Genomic DNA, 15,903 nt, shown 5'->3' on the forward strand with positions numbered 1-15,903 from the left:
TAAATGTGCTAAGAGAGTTTGCTCTTGAAATGAAATCTGAAATAGATCCTTTTGAGATAACAAAGACCCTTGTCTCTTTTATAAAGTTTAAATTTTTGGTGAAGTAGGATTCTATAATGTGATACTAAAAGCTTTGTGTGGTTTCATCAACGTGCTGAGTTTGGTTTGCATCACAAAGTCATATGGTAGGAAAACTACGGATTTTTAGAGTCCCATGTGTTTAGGTTTATATTCTCCTTCTACTAATTTTGAGCTCTGAGACTTTACAAAAGTTACTTGCCTCTTCTTCTTCTTCTTTTTTTTTGGAGACTGGAATCTTGCTCTGTCACCCAGGCTGGAGTGCAGTGGCGTGATCTCGGCTCACTCCTACCCTCGCCTCCCAGGTTCAAGAGATTCTCCTGTCTCAGCCTTCCGAATAGCTGGAACTACAGGTGCCTGCGACCATGCTTGGCTAATTTTTGTATTTTTAGTAGAGGTGGACTTTCACCATGTTGATCAGGCTGGTCTTGAACTCCTGACCTCAGGTGATCCGCCCACCTCAGCCTCCAAAAGTGCTGGGATTACAGGCATGAGCCACCACACCCAGCCTACTTGCCTCTTCTAAACCTCAGTTTTCACATCCACAAAGTGGGATGAGTATTATAGCATATGTCAGGTGTCTTGGAAATTGCCTACCAATGGTCACTGTAATTATCACCGTTGGTGTTATTTAGAAGTTAAATGTGTGTTTTTGATTTTGATTTTTGTATATTTTAAATTATGGTGGGTACTTGATTTTGGCATTTGTTTTATGTAATGCCAAAGGCCAAGCATAAAGAAACATGGCTTGTTGAACCATGGTTCATGCTTAGGAAAACATTGGTGTAAAGCATGTTTGTGTTTGAAACTTTAGGAGCTGCCCAGGTTATGGAAGGCGGCCAAGTGGAATATAAGCCCCTTTCGGGCATTCGGTACATGTGGTCGTACCATTTAATTGGCCTCATCTGGACTAGTGAATTCATCCTTGCGTGCCAGCAAATGACTATAGCTGGGGCAGTGGTTACTTGTTATTTCAACAGGTAGGTCCAGTGTTTTTTTTCTATTGGTTTGTCTATGTGGTTTATCTATGTGCTTCATGTTAATATCTCAAAAGATATTTGGGAATGTTGACCTAGCCCCTTAAAAGAAGTTGGCAAGAATAAAAGAGTAAGCTAAAATTTGGGCTGTATTCTCATTTGGTGGTGAGAAGAAATATTACACCCTAAATCTGTCACATTTCCAACCTTTTTACTTTAAGCTAGAAAATTTAGAAAGAAGACAAACAGAAAAGAGATCATATTGCTTAGACTTGAAAGATAAAAAGGGGCTGCTCTGCCTATGGAGTAGCCTTTTTTTTTTTTTTTTTTTTTTGAGATGGAGTCTTGCTCTGTCATCCAGGCTGGAGTGCAGTGGCGCGATCTTGGCTCACTGCAAGCTCCGCCTCCTGGGTTCGAGCGATTCTTCTGCCTCAGCCTCCCAAGTAGCTGGGACTAAAGGCATGCGCCATCACACTCGGCTGATTTTTGTATTTTTAGTAGAGACAGGGTTTCACCATGTTGGCCAGGATGGTCTTGATCTCTTGACCTCGTGATATGCCTGCCTCGGCCTCCCAAAGTGCTGGGATTACAGGTGTGAGCCACCGCACCTGGCTGCCATTCTTTTAATATTAAAAAAAGGAAGGGTGGAACTCCCCTATGAATATCCATCCTAATTGACTTCAGACAAAAAAATTACTGGTCTATTTTGAATATACTTCAGTAAATTCTGTGAGCCTCAGTTTGTCCTCTGCAAAATCAGATAACATTTGCTTGGGGAAAAAAATTAATCCTAAAGGAATTGTATGTAATTACAAAATATAATTTATATTATAGTTAAGAACCAGTGAATTAGTTACACACTTCTCTGCTTATATCCCTATCACATCATGAAAGCAATTGAGGACACACACAAACACACACACCCCTGAACGCTTTACCTCTTCTGTGTGTGTGACTCACCCCAGGGCAGTGAGAGCCCTCAGGACAGAGGAACCCAGCCAGGGCAATGGCAGGACTGGGCTCAGAAAGAGAAGTTTACTCTTCATAGGGCTGATCCTCCTCCAGCCTCTCAGACCAAATGAGAGAGAAACATGAGCTTCATTGGGAGAGACTATCTGCCAGGGGTGATTCCTGCCATTGAGCAGTTTCCTCCTGATGATAAGGAGCACTGTCGGGTGTTTGTTTGTTTGTTTGTTTGTTTGTTTGTTTATTGAGACGGAGTCTTGCTCTGTCGCCCAGGCTGGAGTGTAGCGGCACGATCTTGGCTCACTGCAACCTCTGCTTCCTGGGTTCAAGTGATTCTCCTGCCTCAGTCTCCCGAGTAGCTGGGACTACAGGCGCCCACCACCACGCCTGGCTAATTTTTGTATTTTTAGCAGAGCTGGGGTTTCACCATGTTGGCCAGGATGGTCTCGATCTCTTGACCTTGTGATCCACCCGCCTAGTCCTCCCAAAGTGCTGGGAATTACAGGATGAGCCACGACACCCGGCCACCACTGTGGGTTTTTAATGTAGTGGTGCAGTTCCGGAGCCTCCATCATTAGAGACTCCAGAGGACTCACAGAGGGGCTGTTGCCCTTGGCATTGAGAACCTCCAAGCAGCCGGGGGTGGGTTGTGTGTATTGCTTCCTCCCAGGTAGGGGAGCAAAGAGAGTATTCTAACCAAATTTGCCAGCAGGTAATATTTGCCTGACAGTAATTTTGTGTTATCTTAGAATAACAAAATCAAAGCATTTTCAATGAGGACTTCTAATTTGGACTTCCAGTGAAGCATATGCATTTATCTCCTAATCTCTTCCCTTTCTCCAGCCACTCAAAAAATCATGAAAGATTGAAACAGGCACAAACACACCAGGACAGTAAGAAACAGAGAGGCAATGACAGCAGATAAGAAACACCAACCAAATGGTGAGAGCCAAAGAGAGGGAGGTGGAGCAGTGCCCTAAGCCCGCTGGAGAAAGCAGAAGCAGCCTGTCCGTGTGTGTTGGCTGCATGAGGAGGACAAATAAGATGCAGCCTGAAGTGAGCCACAGAATCCCAGAGAGGCTCAGGAATTCAAGTATAAAAAGTATTTCCAAAGATTAGCTGAAAGCCTTCCTCAGGAGTAGTTAGACCCCCAAATTCCACACCAGCTGAAGACAGGAAAATTTGTTCTCCAGAGAGGGAAAGCAGAGAGGGCCTGGACTTGGGGTATCAGGTACAGCTGAGGCTGGGGGCAAGTCTCTGTACTGAAAGCAGGGGGAGTAAGTGAAAGCCTAAACACTGAAATGAGGTCCCCCACATACACCAGCACCCCACATTCCACAGTTCAGCTCCCAGAATGTTGGCAGCTCATTTGATATTCCCTAGGAAGAGGTTAGAGGATGCTTTTGTGGAGAAACTGCCTAACCCAAAGTAAAGACCTACAGATAGTGCCATATGGGGTCCCCCAATGAAATGGATTCCCTGACTCCTAGCAAAACAGTGAAGCTCATCAGACAACAAGCAACATGCCTCACACAGAGCTTCCAGGTCATTCTGGAGAGCCTCACTCTTCAATTTGAACTGTTTACCAGTGATTATTAAACATGATGAATGCCTCTAAGTGAAAGAAGAGATCAAAATGAACAAATAAAATGAGCTTAGGGAAAACGGAGACAATGCAGGCTGCAAAAGGAAACAACAAAGCAAACTATAATATTATCAGAGAGAACAAAGATGTATTGCTAGGATCCCCTCCCACCAACAAAAGAAGGGCATAGTGAGAAAACAAGACTCTTGAGTAATTAAAAGTATGATTACAAAAGTGAACATTTTCTATTGAAGGATTAAAATATAAAGTGGAAGCACTCTTTCAGAAGGTAGAATAAAAAGACAAAGAGACACAAAATAAGAGAGAAAGGATTAAAAGAGGATAAATTTGGGAGACCCACTATCTGATTAATATGAGCCCAGAAATACAGAACAAAGAAAAGAAGAAAGAGAGGAAATTAACAAAGAAAATTTGCCAGGGCTGGAGGACACAAGTAAAAAGAAGATTCCAGAAGCTTCCCGAGGGAAAAAAGATCACAGGCAAAGGATCAAGGACCCAGAATAGGATCTGACTTTCACCAGCAACTCTGAACCAGAAAAACAGTGAAGGAAGGCTGTAGAAGTCTAGTGAAAGATTATTTCCAACCTAGAATTGTATAGCCAGTCTATACCTAGTATAGAGTTGTATACCTATTCTTACTACCAGTCAAGGGTAAAGAAGAACAAAGTCATGCACAGGCAGTCCCAAGATTTCCCTGCCCTCATCCTTTCTAGCAGGGATGTTCCCCACTGAAACTCATGTGTAAGCCAGAGAGGAAAACATGAGTTTCAGAAAACAGGCTTGAGCAGAGCAGAGCAAGGAATTCCCAGGAGGGTAGCTGCGCAGCAGGCGTGGAAAGCGTCCAGTCCAAGGTAGACAATGGGCTCCAGGAGAGATGTCACCATGAAAAGAAAATGGAACTGAGGGAATACCAGGTGTGTTCGAACACGTTAAGAAAAGCATTACACGTTGGTGAAGCGTTCGGTGAGGCCCATGGAAATCCAAGCTAATAAAAAAATGTGAAACAATTAACTTCAGAAAAAAAAAGTTGTACAGGAAGGGAATCTAATTGGAATATGCTACTTAGATCAGTTGTGAATATTATTTACAGCACATATTATTTATGTATGAATAACAAACACTAAGCATTAACTAAAAGCTTTGATGTAATTACATTGGAAGAATGGGAACATGAGTGTGAGGAGATTGGGGGAGTTAGGCTATGTAAGAAAATAAAACCAGAATCTTTCATAGTAGAAAAGTCAGTAGACAATATCTGAAGCCAAAAAACCAAGAAATAGCAGTAAGAACATGTAATTTTGAGGTGTGGAAGTGAGTTCTCTAATAACAACTAAAATATTATCTCAGGGAGAGAGAATTATGAATGGGGGAAGAAAACTGCTGTTTTTCCTATTAAGCCTAGCAGTGATTTTTGGCTTTGTAAGACACTTTACATATTACTTTGATTAAAAAAAATTAATTTATAATATAACACACAATGATTTATTTTTAGCACAACTATTGCATTTATTAAAGAGCTCTGCTTCCTTTTTGATTTTCTGCCTAATTTTGAAACCTCAAGATTTTTCCTAATCTTCAAAGTTCACAATTCTTCGTATCCTTTTCTGGCCTGCACTCAGGGTGAGGATTAAATATAGCCAGGGTGCATTCATCTTTGTCATTCATTTATGCACTACGAGGGCTGAAGAGTTCATACAAATACCATCAGGTACCAGGATATGGGCAATCTGTAGAATTTACTTTTTACAACCATTTGCTTGAAGAAGGATCAACTGAGAGCCATAAAGGTGGTGTTAGGGATGTGATAGGAAGGAGCTAGAACCCTTCAGGGTGGTGGAGGGACACTTGAGGTGTGACTTCATCATCATTTTCAAATATACAAAAGAGGGTTTCCAGCTGCTCTATATCTACAGATGGAGAAGAGGAAATGGATTCATAGCAGAGCCTAAGGAATTTAGGTAGAGATAGATGAATTTCCTAACCTAGCAAGAGTTACCCAGGCCAGCTAAAGAATCCTCTTCTTTCTAATAAAGACGATTTTCATTTTCTGTAGAATAGGAAAGAAACATACAACCTTCTCAGCCCTCCAAACCCCATCTTGCAGTGATTTTGTTGTAAGAAATACTGGAAGAGACATGGTCTCTACAGGGACCACACAGTCCTTTGCTGGGACCAGCTTTACGTTGGAGGCCATTTGTCCCATGCAGCCCACACCTAGTCCAGGAGCCTCAGCACAAAATTAATTCTCCATAATGTCAGAAGAGTTTTTAGTGAGCACGAGGCTGGATCTAACTAGAGCCAAAGCTTGTCTCTAGGACCATGATGCGGCTTGCCTGGCTGTATGCACTCTGTTGTCTGATGGGAGTAGAAATTACAAAACAGTACTTTGTACCATGACCCAAAGGTGTTAGAGGACTTGGATGGATGGGACCATTAAACCCTTTGCCCCACAGCTTGGATTGATGTGGTATTTTGGGCAACTGGCTTCGTTGTTCTGGGAGCCAGGCACCATTAGCACTCAAAGCAGCCACACATCCAAAGGAAGGGGGAAGCTGGGCTTCATGGGGCATATGCTAGAGTCGCCTTACCCTCTAACACTGCCCGTGTCTTCCTTATTGCCACTACCCACAGAATTGGGGTGGATGTGGTCCAGTGGGAAGATCTAGAGAGAGATGAGGAAGGCTGACTGGGGGCCCAGTCCTCCCCAGCCTCCTAATACACTCATCGCTGGGTTGCCCCATATGCTCAACACTGGAATGTTGTCCCCCAGGTCAATTCTTAAAATATGAATAAGTCCAGAGGTAAGTATTATATTTAGCATCACTGGGTGTGTCAGATCCTCTTCCTGAAGGCAGGTTTGGCTGGTTGTGAGGGAGACAGAGCTGGAGGCACTAGCCCCACACACAGCAGGGGAGAGGTGGTAGGATGACGTTACCTTTGAACATGGAAATGAGTCTGAGACTAGGTGGGGGCCTCAGAGACACACCACTTCATTAGCCTTTTTTTTCTGTAGGGCTGTTTCTAGTTTTGAGGGCAGGTATTGAGTGACTCCTGGCTCCAAGAGCTGGCTTGGGTTGAAAGGGCCCTCTTTTTAAGTTCCGTCTCCCATCACGTGATAACCCAGCTTCTGGAACCTCTGCATCTTCTTCCAGCCAAGCCAGGCAGAGCCTCCAGCCATAACCAGGATGTGTTACAGACTAGGGAAGCTGAGGCAGTGCAGGTACTCCTCTGCCTGAAGTGGTTAACCCCATCACAGTGAAACCTCAGAAAGCTGATGCCTAACCCCAAACTCTAATACCTGGAGGGCTAACCCCAAGGCCCTCATTCACAGAGGCCTATGAATCATGTGTTTCCCTACCAGATGGAAAGCAGGTGTTGTCCTCTTCTCCCTGCCTCCCCTCTTGAGCACCATAATAAGTTCTAAGGCACACAAATCTCCTCAATGGAAAAGTAAACGTTCTTCCTTAAAAAAAAAGAAAAATGAGGGAAGGGAAAAAAAAGTGTGTCAGATTTTCCTGGCCTACACTACTCTTCTAGTTTATCAGATCTAAATGAATTCCTATTAGCAATAGCTTCCGTGGTTTTTCCTACTTTAAATAACACTGTGTTGAAACACACATCCTTTTTTTTTGTGGGACAACTGGGTTGCAGTTTTTCAGCTCCCAATATTACTTTCATGTTCTCTTTTTCTTCCTGGCTGATTTGAGTAACAGCAAAATGCAGCCATTGCCAACTCTTGAAACATTTCTGGCTGCCTTCCTTTTCCTCTCTCAAAACCTAGGCTGCTGTCAAAACCTTAATTCATAGTGACTTATTAGCAACCAGAGCAAGTTGTAGAATAATCCATTATAAAGAAACCAAGCTTCACTTGGAATCTGTGAAGTTGCTTCTCAGAAAGACCTTATTTTCTAGAACTGGCTTCAGCGGGAATTCAAAGGGTCACCCGTGGGGTGGCATCAGCCCCCACTCCTTTGTTTTATCTTTCAGGGTTAGGGGAGAGTGATGGCTGTGCCCATTCTGTTCTTTCTCACTTTTTTTTCCCTGCCTGTGAAACTGACTTGTACACATTCTTGGGAGCTGCGTCATGACAAGTCCCGTAAATGATTCACACTGAAGTGACCTTTAAAGAGCAGAGTAGAAACCAGCAGGATTTGGGGAGCCTAGAGCTGTGTAGGAGCCAAGCACCCAGGGCTTTCTGTCCCTTTCCTGTAAGTGGGAGCTCACTATTACCTCTCTGGCCACTGATCCTGGTCATGTGATTTGGTGATGATTTTTAATCACCAGGTGAATGCTGGCAATATTTATGTATACTCCTGTGTAAGTTAAACCTTGGAGATTGTGCCGCAATTAAAATTCTGAAAGTGAAAATGAGATGAATAGGCACCCTAAAGGGTTGGTGGATGGGCTCTGCATTATGAAGAGGGAAACTTTTTTAACTCATCAATTTTTTTAAATTTTTTCTGTTTTATTTGTAGCATTAAGTGGCACCAAAACGAATTAAATTAATACAAGAAACAATTTAACCGAAGCTACCAAGGAGTATAAAAAGTTCGCCAAATGCTTATTATGTCACAACTTTCTAAGTTGTTAGTACCACAGATGATTGGAACCAGAGAGCTTTTGCTGCTTTATAAAAAGTGTTTTTAAAATGCTATCCTTTTCCCTATTTCCAGAAGTAAAAATGATCCTCCTGATCATCCCATCCTTTCGTCTCTCTCCATTCTCTTCTTCTACCATCAAGGAACCGTTGTGAAAGGGTCATTTTTAATCTCTGTGGTGAGGATTCCGAGAATCATTGTCATGTACATGCAAAACGCACTGAAAGAACAGGTAAGGCTACCTCCTGATACACAGCACGTTCTGTGTTTGGGTTGCCAGAAACTTAATTACTGGAAAACTACAGCAGGTCCCAGGACAGAAATGTGACCTGTGACAGCGGGCCGTGCAGAAAGCTCCTGCACTCCTCAGCTCCCATCCCCCGCCTCTCCCAGCAAAACTTTTATTTTCCCAGAGTCTGTGTTTTGTTTATGGTTTTGTTTATTGGGTTTTCTCCAACTCGGTGGAGATGGCGTGGGGAGGGAGTAGTTCTGAGTTAGCTGATTTTCCTTCTTATGTAAATGCCAAACAGACGGGATGAACTCTTAAGGTGAAATTTAAACAAGTTTTTTTGTGAACATTTATCATGCCTTTTTAAGTAAAAAAATATACCATAAGATAGGAATAATATTTGTTCATTTCTGTTTTGATGCTAAAATATTGCCTGCCTTTTGTGTTTCCTAGAGACAGTCATGGGAAATTCCTGGTGTGTGTGAGGAAGAACGAGGGAGAAAAGGAGAGGGTTTGAATGAGAGTGTGTATGTGTGTGTACATGCGTGTGTACACATGCGCTTGAGAGTGAGAAATGGGCAAGCTGACCTACATCTCAGCTCAAAGGACAGAGAACTGTAGGGCTTTTGTGCCTGGGGGATTTCTCCTCCTAGTTTTTATTTCCATGCACATTTGGTTATGAATGCCAGTGGAAACCAGAACACCAGGAAAACAGCTGTTCTCATGGTATTTCTGGCCTGCCAAACAAGAGAAGATTGGACTTTTCCCAAGTCTTCTGTTCTCACACAATGTTAATCTCTTCCCCCGTCACCACCTTAGAGTTGGTGACTTGGTCAGTTTCACAAACTTACCTGATTCCAACCTTTTGAGTATAGCTATGTGTCCTTAGTAAATTCAGGACATTTTACCAATAGGTTTACATTGTATTTTGGAATTGTTTTCATTTACTTTTTAAAAAGATATCTGAATTGTTGATATTTTAAAATCTATAACCAAGATTTAAAGTTAGTTTATCAATTAGAAGCAATTGATTGGATAACACATAAAATTATCTGGCTTCCTTATCTGGAAATGCATGCTAAGCAGTTGCCCCTGATTGTAGAATATTTTCTTGTATTTCTATTAATATTTTGCTTGGCCACATTTTGATGACTTGAAGAGGCATTTCCATATCCAGGGCAAAACTAGCTACTTTTGGCTCCTGCATTTTGAAATCAATCCTTCAGTCTTAGGAAACTTGCAGGATTTCTTGAAGAACAGGACAGCGTTTTATTTTAAATCTATTTGTGATATGTGTGTGTGCGCATTGGTAATAGATAATCATAAATTAATGAGCAGCCGGGAGCTTGCTCTCCCTCCTAAAGCTAGGCATTTTAAACTCTCTGGGGAAACGGCCTTTCATAAATCTAAAAGAGAAGGCCCAAGGACCTCAGTGGAAGGCCCAAGGTCTCTCTGACTGAGGTCTAAAAGGTTATTTATCACTTCCCAGATCCCACAAGGACCAAGGGCCAAAATTGCTTTTAGTGATGTCACTATTGGGAAAATGTGTCCTTTCTTAGGTTAAAAAAAAATTTCTTCCTCAGCAGCCTTACTGCCCCACACTGTGTCTACAATTTAAATGTCTCACACAGCCACTGTGTGATTTTCCCTAGTTAAATAGGCTCATTCACCAACACAGCCAGGCTGAAAAGTGTCCAGATCAAGTTTCATCCAATTGAATTCACATTGGGATGAGAAAATGTCCATATAAGGCTGAGTTATTCCTGGGGTCCTCATCCTAGGCTATTTCAGGATTGTTTTCAGGGATGTGTTCACTCTGGAGAGTGGGTAGGATGCCTCCGAGCACCCTTCCCCCAAGAGGTTCATTAAAGTATTCATTCTTAAGCTATGCACAAGTTCAAGTTATATTTCAAAGGAGTAATTTATCCCTCGAAATTTAGTCCTGAAAAAAATCTCACTACAGGATTTATTTCCTCCAGAGTTAAACTTGATTCTTTATTTATGTGGGCACATAACTAGTACCTACAGTGTATTATTTGTTTTTTTTGTTTCTGGGATGTGGATTTTTCGTGAATATAAACTTTGGTTTGAAAAAGCAAAGTGTACCATTTCAGACACTTAAGGGCAGATGAAGGGGGAAGAGAGGTTTTTTTTTTTACTGGAACCAGAAGGCCTGCTTTTGTTTTGCTGTTCAGTATGGACTAACCTCCCTAATAGCACCCCTAACACGTAAGTCCACAAGACAGAAATGTTGCTCCTCAGTAATACTAGAACCATAATTAGTAGTAGTAGTATGCACACAATAGAACTTCTCCCACGCCACCAGTGTTTCCCCAGGTGCATAAGTAAAAACTGTGTTTCCTCAGAAACTGCCTGCTTTTCTTCTTTCCTGTGTTGTTTTTGACTCTGTTCCTTTGTTCTCAACCTGATCCAGCAGCATGGTGCATTGTCCAGGTACCTGTTCCGATGCTGCTACTGCTGTTTCTGGTGTCTTGACAAATACCTGCTCCATCTCAACCAGGTACGTCTCTACCTCTTGCCTCAGGAACACACAGAAGGGTCCAAAGGTGGGCTTCATCTCTTAGGTCAAGGTTTGGCAAATTCTTCTCTAAGGGGCTAAATTGTGTAAACATTTTAGGCTTTCAGACCAGTCTCTCTGTCACAACCACTCAATTCTGCCATCATGGCAGGAAAGCAGCCATAGGTAAAATGTCAATGGGATGGATGTGGCTATGTTCTAATGAACCTTAACTTATCAACACTGAAATTTGAATTTCATATGATTTTTACATGTCAAGAAATTTTCTTTTTTTGATTTTGATTTTTTCTCAACCATTGTAAAATTGTAAAAATTGTTCTTAGCTCCTGCCAGAGAAAAGTGGGCGGTGTGATGGAGCTAGCTCCTGAGCTGTAGTTTGCATACCCTACCCTAGAACCATAGGCCTTTAAAGCCATGCTTCAAATTCTAAAAGAAAGTTTTTCTCTTTTCAGAAATAAAGAGGGAAGGGAGTATTTAGAAACCCTAAGCATAATGAATATATATCAACTAAGAGCTAATTTTCAGTGTCTTCTCTAAGAACTATAATTTTCCTGAACTAGGAAAAGAATTGCCTCCCTAATTTTCATAGATTTCACCAGTCTTTCCTTTTCAAGCTGTAAATATGCCTTTAAAATTATAAAAATTATATCTTGCAATTGTTTGGATTTCAGATTTTTTTCCTTTCCTGAATTTTTCAAATTGATGGAAATTTAAATATGTTGTATTTCTCTATAGAGCATTTAGGAGATTTTAATAGTCCTTAGTCAAATTTACACAAAGCAGTATTTTTGTAAGTTAGCAAACTGTTTTATAATTTAAATGTTCACAGAAATCTCACTTAGAAAAGTATTTCTTATAATTGCCCCCTCCCAAAGAAATGTACCTTTAGAAGTAAAGGGACTAATTAGACCACCTATGTTTAATGTCTTTTAAGGGGTATTTAGAATACTTTTCATTATTCAGGGAAAAATGTAGCCTTCTTATAGTAAGGTCTATTTTTAGGCTCTTAAACTTGGAGAACATTTTAGAGTATATTTAGTTTTCATTTGGATTGCTATAAGCCAGCATGTATAAAACACAATCAAATACCATAGGACCTTTCAGAATGGGGGGGAACATATAACAAGTCAGTCCAAACCGTTTGAATACATTTGTCGTGGTGTAAGATGTTATAGCTATTGTGTATATATCCAGACGGCAACTTCATAAATATTTTGAGATGCATTGCAAAAATGTATTAACTATGATAAAATATATATGCATGAAAAATAAAGTCTAAGAAACATATAGATAGACTAGAAAGACAAAAGCAATGAATGGGACCATTGATATACAAATATGTTGGCCATATGGCCCTACAAGGCCCGAGGGTTGACCTGTTATCCCCTCTCACTGTACTACGGGAATTCAGGTACTTTCCGCATCCCTCTTTCACTCATGGTTTTCATACTGGCCCCTGGAAGCCTAGAGGCTCCTGTGGACACTGTGGGGACCACCACATTAGGAGGGCAGAGAAATGGCTGAGGTGGAGGAAGGGTGGGCCCTGGCCCCATATACCATGCCTATACTGCCTGGCCTTGCGGCCTGAGCAGCTCCACTTTATGTGGTTTAGGGGTGGGAGTGTGGGAGTGTACTGAAGGTTTCATTTGAGGACAGGTCTCTGCTGCTGAAACACATTTGAAAACCTCTGGTCCCATTTTCACATTTGTTTCCTCTGCCCTGTTATCCTGAGATACGTATTTTCCTGCCTTCTGAACTTTCACCACCTTAATTAATCCAGGACCATTTCCCTTGGTAATTCAAAATGTTTCCAAACTCATAAGTGACATTAATGTTAACCACACCTTAATGACCATTGTGAAGGTGACGACTCCTTTTAAAAGCTGTGTCAATGGAAGTAATGATCCCTGATTCACAAAAAAACTAAGCCAGCCTTGATCCAGCTCCTGTAGTGAGTCAGTGGTGCAAACAGGGATAGGTCTTTCAGATTCTAATCATGGTGCCTGTGCACTAGGCTGTGGCTAAACCTGCTTTGTAGTGTCTTTTCCTTGGGGTGACTCCTGTAGAACTGGGTGTTGCCAGCTGATATGGGTGATGCTCAGAGGCCTAAGGTTCAGGAGATTGGGAAGAGGAGGAAGAATGAAAAAACAAGAATTGATGTGAATATTAATGGAGAGGGAAGGGTCACCTCTGGTCTACATTGACTACTGGAAAGCAGAGTGAAATAAAAATGTTTAAGAATAAAGATGATTGTAAATGGTGATCAGAGCAACTGTCAGCCTCATTTGGCAGTAGACAAAGGAAAGTGAGCATAAAGTGAGAAAAGGAATTTAGATTCACCTTTTCAGAAATTTCCTTGCATTGGAATGACTTACTAGGGGACATTGTGGCATCTCTGTCTCTGGAAATCAGATTTAAAAAGGCTGAACCCTATTTTATGTTCCTCATTTTGTGGAATAGGAGCTGGAAAATACTAAAAGAGAATGAGATCCATTTGTTACCATCAAAACTCAGATGCTCATCTTTATTTAACATCAAGGAGATGGTTGTGTTTTCCCACTGCTTCTTAAAAGCCTAATCCATCTTCACTAAATCCTAGTAGGGAGGCAGGTGGCAGTTGCTGCATTTTGTGAACACCCAGCCTAAGGCTGCACAGGCATTCACTTACAAGGTGGGGAATGAAACTCTCAGTCTCATAATTTCTCATTTACTTTTCTCCCTACATCATAAATACTGAGTGTGTGCATACTGAAAAAATTACATGTTCACCTCACACATGCGTTCATCCAGCAACCATGTGTTTATGCTGTATGCAGACTATTTCTACCTGGGCATAATAGGGACCAGGACCATGGTGATACAGAGGTGATACAGAGTCATTACTGTATAGTGCAAAAGGCAAGCCTCCAAGAAATTGACAAGCTAGTTGTTGGGAGCCAGGGGCCAGTAAGTGGTATATGCATGAGACATTTATATGACAGTACAGAAAAGTACATGTTTAAGTGTTGGGATAGGGCTGTGGAAGTTCAGAAAAGGGGAATCTTGGTCACTGGGAGAGGTCATTTGACTCTGTAATTAGGGGAAATTTCCTAGGAGAGGTGGACCTGAGTATAGAGCACCCACTGGAGATCACCAGCTACTAACGACAGCAATAACAGCTGTGGGTATTGGCAATAAACTATTTTGCCAGTTGTATGCTGAGCACTTTTCCTGCATTATATCAGTTGTTAGGTTTTTTGTTTTCGTTTTTGTTTTCTTTTGTTTGAGACGGAGTTTTGCTCCTGTTGCCCAGGCTGGAGTGCAGTGGCACAATCTCAGCTCACTGCAACCTCTGCCTCCCGGGTTCAAGTGATTCTCCTGCCTTATCCTCCGGAGTAGCTGGGACTACAGGCACATGCCACCACATGCTAAGTTTTTGTGTTTTTAGTAGAAACGGCATTTCACCATGTTGGCCAGGCTGGTCTTGAACTCCTGACCTCAGGTGATTTACCCGCCTTGGCCTCCCAAACTGCAGAGATCACAGGCATGAGCCACCATTCGTGGCCAGTTGTTAGTTTTTGAGATAGTGTCTCCAGTTTACAGATAGGGAGATTGAGGCTTAGAGGAGGCACATAGTGGCAGAACTAGGATTTGAATCCAAGTCTGTTTTCCCTCCAGGACCCAAGCCCTTAACCACTGTGCATTTTTAAAATAGCCAGAGGAGGACTCATGACCACCACCTGGGGATGTGAGCAAAGCCAGAGTCCAGACAAGTAGAGCTGGCAGAGCACATCTTGTTACACAGCAGACTTTTGTGGAGGAAGACGGGAAAGGTGAAGGAGCAATGAAGATGATGAACTCACTGTAACTGTAATCAAGCAGTTATCCATCCAGAAAAGGCTGGTCAGGGTGGCCTGGCCCCTCCTCCTTTCCTCAGGCAAGTTAGTGGTCAAAGCGTCTGGGAGTGTTGGCTGGCCATTCTCAGAGACTTTCAGGCAAAGGGACCTTACAGCCTCCCCTCTCCCTCCCAGCACTTTCCAGGGGCCTGGCTAAGAACCCCACTGTGAGACTACAGGCTAAGCACTCAGCAAGAATGGTGTACTTACTGTTTCTTACCAGGTCTGCACACAGTTCCTCATGGAAATGTCTCCCTAAGTGCACATCTCTTGTCCATTGTGGACACAGGCCTCTGTCCCAGCCATGATGTTGGCTTTAGGTCAATGTTCCTCTAAGTATGAAACCCACTGGTGAGCCCCAGGACTCTTCCTGATGGTTCCAAACTGATCTGAACATTCTAGAAAATCCTTTTTTCAATTTTTATAGGCAAATAGCAGGATTCCATAGGTTTTTCATTTTTGCATACAACAAGGAGCTGTTTGCCAATCAATAAAGTAAAGCGTGTGTTATTAAAGCTTACTAAAATGTGTTCTTTATAAATCCAAATTGGTGTCTTAACATAGTTTCTTAAGGACTCAAACTCATTACTCTTTTCAGACATCTAACTGCCGAGGCAATGCCTGGTGACCCTGCAAAATTTATGAATGCACACACGTAGACAGTTGGGATTTGCAAACTGGGAAAAGAACACTTCGCTACCACCAGTGTTGCCTTGAGTTGACTGTGTTGTTTGGTTGCAGTCATTCTTGTCTTGATGTTTTACTTCTGTTGAGTATTCCATTTATTTTTTTATTTTTTATTTTTTTTGAGACAGAGTTTCACTCTTGTTGCCCAGGCTGGAGTGCAATGGCACGATCTCGGCTCACTACACCCTCCGCCTCCCAGGTTTAAGTGATTCTCCTGCCTCAGCCTCCCGAGTAGCTGGGATTACAGGCTTGTCCCACCACACCTGGCTGATTTTGTATTTTTAGTAGGGATGGGGTTTCTCCATGTTGGCTGGTCTCGAACTCCTGACCTCAGGTGATCCACCCACC

At 42.1% G+C, this 15,903-nt stretch overlaps 1 protein-coding gene across 26 annotated transcripts in view, besides 1 other annotated feature; it reads left to right on the top strand.

Moving 5' to 3' along the window:
- Positions 1-15,903, top strand: part of SLC44A3 (solute carrier family 44 member 3) — a 74,891-nt gene that overhangs the window by 36,086 nt on the left and 22,902 nt on the right. For 15 of the 26 annotated variants that reach the window (NR_146575.2, XR_946543.3, XM_005270442.3 and 12 more), the window contains 3 exons: positions 893-1,058; positions 8,301-8,457; positions 10,889-10,975. Coding sequence is in view for 24 of the 26 variants with exons in the window: in XM_005270442.3 (XP_005270499.1) it covers positions 893-1,058; positions 8,301-8,457; positions 10,889-10,975 (410 nt within the window). In the remaining 2 variants the exon portion in view is untranslated. Of the gene's footprint in view, positions 1-892; positions 1,059-8,300; positions 8,458-10,888; positions 10,976-14,650; positions 15,389-15,903 lie in introns of those variants that run through there. The other 11 variants (XM_017000264.3, XM_017000262.3, XM_047444888.1 and 8 more) reach the window with 5 other exon arrangements.
- Positions 9,916-10,417: an enhancer, noted in NCBI's record as "NANOG hESC enhancer chr1:95331914-95332415 (GRCh37/hg19 assembly coordinates)". NCBI's record gives its function as "activates a minimal SCP1, AML or CMV promoter by ChIP-STARR-seq in naive H9 embryonic stem cells {active_cell/tissue: H9 hESC(naive)}" and the evidence as "EXISTENCE:reporter gene assay evidence [ECO:0000049][PMID:30033119]".

The sequence above is a fragment of the Homo sapiens genome, chromosome 1 (genome assembly GCF_000001405.40).
Source record: "Homo sapiens chromosome 1, GRCh38.p14 Primary Assembly".
In the NCBI taxonomy this organism is placed as follows: Eukaryota; Metazoa; Chordata; class Mammalia; order Primates; family Hominidae; genus Homo; species Homo sapiens.